Here is an 8707-nt window from a genome sequence, read left to right on the forward strand (position 1 = left end):
TTTATTTTTAATATTATTTATTTATGCCCTCTCTTCTTTTCTTCATGGTGAGTCTTACTGGTATCAGAGGGATGTTAAAGAACTACTAGCACCTAATGGAGACATTCTTCTTGATATAATCAAAAGTATTGAAAAGGAATGAAAAAGGGGGTAATTAAATATTCTTTAATGCTGATATTCATGTGGAAACTTAAAATTATTTTCTGTCCTACCAATGCTATATGACTTCCATACGGGGAAACATTGATTTATTAAATGTCATAACCACATTGAAATGCCTTTAGGGCTGTCAGTTGCTTTGGCTCACCTCTAGGGCCTGTCTTTAGCTCGGGAGTAACAGAAGGATCTGGGTTAGGAGACATGGGTGTGAAAGGTATCCCAGAGAAGAGGGGGATCCTAGAGTCTGGATAAGCTGGGAGGCCCCCTCTCAACACCCCATAGAGATGTGCTGTCTCTATGAGAAGTTGTTCAAACAGAGGGGTTGCCTAGGGCAAGGATCGGAGGTGGAGGGAGCAGGGGGTGGCACAGGCTTCCCTCCCTTTCCCCACCAAAGACTCAGGCTCTGGGTGTGAAGCAGGAAATGGGGTCTTCTTAGAATTGTTGAGGTTTCCTGGAAGCCTGTGAGGGCTGAGACCATCTGGCTTTCTAAAGTTCACTTTCTGGTGGAGGAGGGACCCCTATCTGGGGACATAGGCTCACTAGTTATAGATACTGAGGCCCTGGGGGTACAGATGCTGGACTGGAGGAAGAGGCTGTTAGCCCTGGACTCTTCCAGTCTCCACTGCTATTTACCCATGACCACACACTCCCTGTCCTCTGGTCAGTCTTTGCAGCCTGTGCTTGTCAAATCAAACTATGTGTTCTGGGAAATATGAGCATTTTAAGGCTCCGCCTTATCTGATAAACCCTTGAACTGAAGAAGGCAGGAAGCCACAGGCTCCTGGGTGGGCAGTACCTACCTGGGGTTACCCCCGACCTCAGAGGGGAAGGCAGCTGTTCTGAGTCATCAAGTAAGCCTAACAACTAACACCCACTTACACGTTCACATCATCAGAGAGGGAGGCGAAGGCCAAGTTGAATGCCTGGAACGGGGGCACTGAGAAGAGCAAAGGCTTTGGGATGACAGGGCCCAGGTTCTAGTTCTGGCTCTTCCACCTCCTAGCCATATCTATTAGATAACCTCTCTCAGTCTCTGAAAGCCCAATAACACCATGGTGCAATGCGATCCCACTAAAAAAAATTGTAGGCTAGGTGCAGTGGCTCACACCTGTAATCCCAGCACTTTGGGAACCTGAGGCAGGAGGATCACTTAAGGTCAGGAGTTTGAGACAAGCCTGGGCAACGTGGTGAAACCCCATCTCTACTAAAAATACAAAAATTAGCCGGGCGTAGTGGCGTACTCCTACAGTTCCAGCTACTTGGAAGGCTGAGGCAGGAGAATCGCTTGAACCAATGAGGCAGAGGTTGCAGTGATCCCAAACTGTGCCACTGCACTCTGGCCTGGGAGACAGAGCCTTGCTAAAAAAAAAAAAAAAAAAAAAAAAAAAAGTAATATTTTGTAAGCTCATATGAATTTTATAATTAAGAAAAGAACAATGGTAACAGTTTATTGTAAAGTGCTAGACAAATACATATTTTCTATTGTTATTTTTATCATTGTTCCTTTGTCCAGTCCTACAGTCAGAAAATATCACATAAGAAAACAATGCCTTCTTACATGTCCCTTACTAGAGGCAGACAGATTTTAGGGTGGGAGTGGTATGGGAGAAAGCAGAGGCTTTTCTCTTAAAATTTAAAAATATTCATACTAAAGAGGACTTCAAAGAGGTTACAAACCCAGGGCCAGGCACAGTGGCTCACATCTATAATCTCAGCTCTTTGGGAGGCCAAGGTGGAAGGGTCACTTATGCCCAGGAGTTTTAGACTAGCCTTGGCAACACAGCAAGACTCCATCTCTACAAAAAATAAAAAATTAGCCGGGTGTGGTGGTGTGGGCCTGTAGTCCCAGCTACTCAGGAGGCTGAGGTGGGAGGATCACTTGAGCCAGGGAGGTCGAGGCTGCAGTGAGCCATGATCACACATCTGCACTCAGCCTGGGTGACAGAGTGAGACCCTGTTTCAAAAAAAAAAAAAAAAAGAGGATACAAATCCGGGAAGCCATGGAATGGTAGACATGGAAGCACCTACAGTAATACACTCCGTATGGATTTCTCAAACACGTATGTAAAAACATAAATGAAGTTCTCAAAAAAATGAGATGTCCTGTCTTAAATATTTGCAGGATATAAGGGTCACTCAGCTCTTTTAGCTTTATTTGAACACAAAATATTTAATATTTTGCATGTAGAGAATAAGAGGTAGTCAGCATGAAAAGGGAGAAGAAAAAGATTTGCAATCAATGCTGTGTAGGAAGAAAGCAAAATGACAAATATGAGCCTACTCAGCAGATGGATATTAGAGAGACTGAGGAATAGACAAGGGGCAAATAGATAGAGAGACAGAGCAGAAAGAGGAGAAACGAAGCTGTGAAAGCAGAGACCATTCCCAGGCCCCATAGCTGGGTGACAACCTCTGAGATGATCCAAGGAGTCTGGCTCTGATTAGAAGACTTTATTCACTCAACAAATTGTTATGTTGTGCATACTGTGGGCCAGGACTCTTCTAGACATTAGAAGTACAAAACTGAACAACTCCAAACCTCTACTCTCATGTAATTTATATTTTAGAGGGAGAAGACATAATAAACAAGTAAAGCTAAAAGTATGACATGTCAGGTGGTGATAAAACTTTAGATAAAACTAATGCTGAGCGAGGGCGACAGGAAGCGCAGAGGAGAGGAATGAGGGAGAGAGGTGGGAGCCATGTGCTATTCTCTGTAGCTGATTCCATTGTCAGCCTCACCAGGAAGGAACCATTTGAGCCATGGCCTTAAAAGACCCATGTGAACTCACATGCAAAAAAATGCAATAGGAATCATCACAAAAGATGCAGTTGATTGTCCAGCCAACATCCAGTTATTCCTTCCTTCTCTCTCACAGAACCCTTCTCCCTTTGCCAAGATGCTGCCGTGTGATGAGGAGAAAGCTGGGCTCAATCTCTAATCCCAGAGGTGGATCCTGTTAGATCCCAATTAGTCTAGGTCAATTATGGCTATCCAACTCCACTTACCAGTGAGTGTGTTAGGAAGCCAGGCTTAAGCCAATCAACATAGGGAATCCCCCTGATCACTGTCATTGGTCCAGAAGCAGGCACATACCCTAAACTAGCCTAAGCATATTGAAAGGAAGGGTTTATATTTCTGTTTGGGGAGGAGATTTTTTTCTCTGTTAGATGAATGTGAACAAGGAAGCATGTTGTCACAGTTGCTCAGGACACAGTGACACAGCCGTCTCTGGACAATGAGGGAAGCTAGCCTGTAGACAGAGCCAATACAAAGAAGAGGGCAGAGCTGGGAGCACTACAGAGAAATGGAGTCAGAGCCCCGATTATTCCATGCCTGGGGCCTGCTCTACTTCAACACTCCCCATTATGTACTGTGAAGAATCTCCTTACTGTTTAAGCCAGTTCGAGTTAGGTTTTCTGTTCCCTGGTCCTTAAAGGTTCTTAACTGACAATAAAAATAATAGCAGCTAACATTTCTTGAGAATTGGCTTGTGGAGGCTCACACTTTATACTGGTAATTTTTAAAAATGTTCTAAACAACCTTACAAGGCAAATGCAACTACTGTGCTTATTTGTAAGACACAAGTGATTCTGCTAAAGGTCATTTGGGTGGTTAAGTTGCAGAATGAAAATCTGTCAGAACTCAGAGCCTGTGCTCTTAATCACTGTAGTGATTCCATCCATATGTGAGGCAGAGGAAAACAGGAAGGAGATTGTGAAGAAGTCCCAGGAAGAAGAGGAGATAGAGATATTATTAATTATATTAATATAATTATATAATATTGCTATCTCCGCCTGGAACCTCATCCCTGGGACAGTTTTTCTCTGCCTAGGAACTTTTTTTTTTTTTTTTTTGAGACGGAGTCTCGCTCTGTCACCCAGGCTGGAGTGCAATGGTGCGATCTCGGCTCACTGCAAGCTCTGCCTCCCAGGTTCACACCATTTTCCTGCCTCAGCCTCCCGAGTAGCTGGGACTGCAGGTGCCTGCCACCACGCCTGGCTAATTTTTTTTGTATGTTTAGTAAAGACGGGTTTCACTGTGTTAGCCAGGATGGTCTTGATCTCCTGACTTCATGATCCTCCTGCCTTGGCCTCCCAAAGTGCTGGGATTACAGGCGTGAGCCACCGCGCCCGGCCATTCTCTGCCTAGGAGCTTCTTTTTGTTAAGAACTCGACTCAGATCTATCTTCTCCTCTAAGAAGCTTCCCCACATTCCCAGCTCCCCAGATCTCCAACCTTCTGGGATCCCACAGAAATGTGTTCAGATTTCTATTATAGCCCAGGTTATTTTATAATATGTTTGTTTTCATACCTTCTCCTTTTACTAAACTCAGAACTCCTTGAGGGCAAGCACTTCGATCGGTTATTCCTTGTGGTTCCCGTGCTCAGCTTAGCTCATCGTAGGTGCTCAGGAAAAGTGGGATTGAATGAAGTGAGCATCCATCCATCAAACATCACACCTTGAGCACCCTCTGTCTTATCAGGAACTGTGCTACACCCTAAGGAGTTATATGGTTAAAAAGATCAGGCTTCTGTCCTCTGGAAGTTTATAAACAAATTGAGGATGCGTTTGTATCTTTCAATTATATATTACAGAAACCCAACTCAAACTAGTTTAAGAAGTAAAAAAAGAATGTGGGTAGGGGGCAGAATTAATTTGCCCCAGGCATGTGATCAGGAGAAAGCTGGGCTCAATCTCTAATTCCAGAGGTGGATCCTCTTAGATCCCAATTAGTCTAAGTCAGTTATGGCTATCCAACTCCACTTACCAGTGAGTGTGTCAGGAAGCCGGGCTTAAGATTACCTCCAGCTTCAGGAATCACTGAATCTAAGATCCAAGGATTTCCAACAATATTATTCTCAAAATTACATCTCTTTCTATAACTTGCTCTTGTGTAGCTGCATTCTCAGGATTTTTTTTCCATGTGAAAGTACTTCACAGCTCCATGTTTGCATCCAATCACAGCAATTAGAGCTGCTTGTTCCAATCTTTCCAGCAAAAGTAATTCCCAATGGTTCATCTGCCCTTCACAGAACCCTTCACAGTGACTCTGATTTAAAAGTCCTAAGTCACATGCCTGCCTCTGGATTTTGAGGTGGGGTTAACCCCATCCAAATCATATCGACTAAAAGTGAGGGAACGTGGTCCCCCAGAGGAAAATCAAGTTGCTGTTACCAAAGTGGGAGATGATGCTGGGCAGGCAAAAACCAACATGTCCTCCATACAGGAGATGTCTTATACACTAATAATTATGGCAAGGCCAGGAGTGATGCCTTTCTTGAGAGCTTACAGTCAAAGATTAGATAGAATAAATGGATCATTTCAAGGACAGCTGTCCATGAACGCCTCTTAGGAGAAAGTCTATGAACTTGGTCTTCTGGATAGTAGAATTATGGTAGGTGAAGATGAAAAAGCCTTTCAGATAATGTGGAAAGGCATGAACAGAGGCAGAGAGGCAGGGATACTTTGGAGATTTTCCAAGTTTGGTGGGAAATTTTGGGAATTAAGGCTGGAACATTGGTCAGGGGCTAGACCCATAATCTAGTAATGTACTAACCCTTTATTCAGATGTCTTTCACATATAATCTCAGAAAGAGTATACTAATTTTGGTGGGGACCAAGAATAGGACAATTCTTCCCATGTTACCGATTGCGTGTTACCCAGTACAAGAGACACCTGCTGAGAGAGAGATCACAGTGCCCAGACAGAACAGCACGAGTACCCCAGTGTTCTGCCTTTCAGTCCAGGACTGTGCCCCTCCTCCCAACAAACTCCCTCTCCTCCACATAGAGAGAAAATGAAGTCTGGGGTTGGAAGTCACCAGGACAGCAGCTGTGGCTCAGCCCCATGGCCAGCCTGAAGGATCCTCTGGAGGAAGCTGTGGGAACTACCACCTAGGCAGAGAGCAGGTATCTGAGTTGCATAATGGCTAAGAGCAGACTCCAGAGTCAGACAGGCCGGGCATTTATCACCAGTTTCATGACACGATGTTACCTTGGACAAATCATGACTTTTCTGAGCCTTAGTTCCCTCATCTGTAGAACAAGGATGGTTAATAAGATCTGAATGAGGTAATGCATATTAAGAAGTTAGCACAATGTGGCGGGGCCTCGTGGCTCACGCCTATAATCCCACCACTTTGGGAGGCTGAGGCAGGAGGATCACTTGCGGTTAGGAGGATCACTTAAGGTCAGGAGCCTAGGCAACATGGTGAAACCCCGTCTCTACTGAAATACAAAAATTAGCTGGACATGGTGGTGCATGCCTGTAATCCCAGCTACTTGGGAGGCTGAAGCAGGAGAATTGCTTGAACCCAGGAGGAAGAGGTTGCAGTAAGCCAAGATCATGCCACTCCACTCCAGCCTGGGCAACAGAGTAAGGCTCTGTCTCAAAAAAAAAAAAAAAAAAAAAAGGAAGTTAGCACAATGTCTGTTACATAGGGTGTGCAATAAGTGGGATATTGAGGGCATTACAGTGTGGTACAGACCCTTGAGTCAGATTGACTTCCCAAGGTCAAATCCTGGTCCCATTTTAATTGTTCTATAATGTACTTTCCACACCTCCCCCCCCGTTCCCCCACATTTTAAACATCTCTGAAATCAGAATGCACCTCAGCATTGTAACATGGTTTAATTGTCAGTTATTATCTCTTAGAATATATGAGATAATAGCCTGTCTTTACACTTGATCTCTTATGTTGGGCAAATTACTTAATCTCTTGGTACCTCAGTTTCTTCAGTTGTAAAATAGGGATAATAATAGTGTCTACTTATAAAGTTGTGAAGACTAAATTAGACTTGCTTTGGAAATTTCTGGCACACAATAAGGGCTTAATAAATTCCATGTATTGGTATTGTTTTTATTATTATCATTTCAAACCAGGTAATGGGTGTGGTGGGACCTGCATGAGCTGAGCAGCTAGAAGCAGAAGAGGGGAAGGCTGGTATGGGAGGGGCAATGCTGGTTCTCAGGTCAAAAGGGGAGTGTGATGAACAGTAGCCAGGAAGCCAGACAAGTGTCCAATGCAGCACAAGGTTGATGAGGGCATATGGTTTTCAGGTGAAGACTGGGAACCATGTTAGGGTACCAAGCCTGGTTGCCCAGCGGGGATGGGTTGGTGGGTTAAAAGGGATAGCCAGGTTGGGCTAGTTGGTCTATATGTTCTCTTTGAAATTGCATGTTCTCTGACTGTAATAACTACTGTCTATTAAGTCTTTACTACATGCCAGGGCACTGTACTAATTGATAAGTACTGTCTCACAGAAATCTGTTATCAATCATATGAGTTAGGTGATTTTATTAGATCAATTTTATAAAAGCAACCAAGAAGGTTCAGGCCGGGCGTGGTGGCTCACACCTGTAATCCCAGCACCTTGGGAAGCTGAGGCAGGTGGATCACCTGAGGTCAGGAGTTCAAGACCAGCCTGACCAACATGGCGAAACCCTGTCTCTACTAAAATACAAAAATTAGCTAGGCGTGGTGGTGCATGCCTGTAATCGCAGCTACTGGGGAGGCTGAGGCAGGGAGAATTGCTTGAACTCAGGAGGTGGAGGTTGCAGTGAGCCAAGACTGTGCCATTGTACTTCAGCCTGGGCAACAGAGCGAGACTCAGTCTCAAAAAAACAAAAACAAACAAAAGAAACCGAGGCTCAAAGAGGTAAATTAACATGTTCAAAGTCACGTGGCTATTAAGTGGTAGAGCTGGAACTTGAATAGGGTTTTTTTGACTTTACATCTGGCACCTAAGCTCCTCTGCCACATTCTTGAACTCAGTTCTCCAGCATATCTCAGTGTATCCAGAAGCAATTTTTCTCCCTTTTTCCTTTCCCCCCTCCTCCCCCACCCCACAGGTCTCCACCTCCCAAGTCCACAAATGCCAAACTCACAAGTCATCTGTTTTGCCAAAATTCTGTTCCGATTTGATAAACCCTAGCTGGGCCAGCTCACTCAGCATGATTCAGCCGGAGAGAATAGCAAGGCTGCATGCCCGGCATGCCGACCAGCTGAGCTCAGGCAGGATGGGAGGCGCTCAGGAACCTCAGCCTGACAGATGGCTCCACTCGGCTGTCTCCACGGGCCTGATGCCAGGGGCAGCACTCGTTCTCAGCAGGAGGGAGGTCGTACGAGTTTCACATGCATGGATGTGTGTGTGTGTGTGTGTGTGTGTGTTTCACATGGACCATGCAGGAGTGAAGCTGTGTATTATCCAGAGTGCCCATGTGTATGTGGCCGGTTTGCACATGTTTGTCTGTATGCGTGTGGATGAATGCATGTGTGCATGTCTAGCTGTGTGTTTGTGTGTGTATTTGTGTGCATGCAGAAGTGTATGTGTGTGTGTTTGAGTTTCAAATTTGCATTCATGTAGGATGTGTGCTCATGAGCATGAAAGAGAAAGCTGGGGGTGGGAAGTAGGGGGAGAACGGTCGTGGGCTTTGAGAGTTGAGAATGTTGAATGTTCCCACCTGCAGTGGAGAGTTGCTGTATGCCCCTCCCTCCAGCTCTCTCTCCTCTTCACAGGACTGACTGACATCAGCAGCAGCAA

At 44.9% G+C, this 8707-nt stretch overlaps 2 annotated features.

Annotated features, from left to right (window-relative positions):
• Positions 7781 to 8433: an enhancer, noted in NCBI's record as "H3K27ac-H3K4me1 hESC enhancer chr11:14443710-14444362 (GRCh37/hg19 assembly coordinates)". NCBI's record gives its function as "activates a minimal SCP1, AML or CMV promoter by ChIP-STARR-seq in naive H9 embryonic stem cells {active_cell/tissue: H9 hESC(naive)}" and the evidence as "EXISTENCE:reporter gene assay evidence [ECO:0000049][PMID:30033119]".
• Positions 8020 to 8314: an enhancer, noted in NCBI's record as "tiled region #800; HepG2 Activating DNase unmatched - State 4:PromP". NCBI's record gives its function as "activates a minimal TATA promoter and a strong SV40 promoter by Sharpr-MPRA in HepG2 cells {active_cell/tissue: HepG2}" and the evidence as "EXISTENCE:reporter gene assay evidence [ECO:0000049][PMID:27701403]".

This window comes from Homo sapiens, chromosome 11 (genome assembly GCF_000001405.40).
Source record: "Homo sapiens chromosome 11, GRCh38.p14 Primary Assembly".
NCBI lineage: Eukaryota > Metazoa > Chordata > Mammalia > Primates > Hominidae > Homo > Homo sapiens.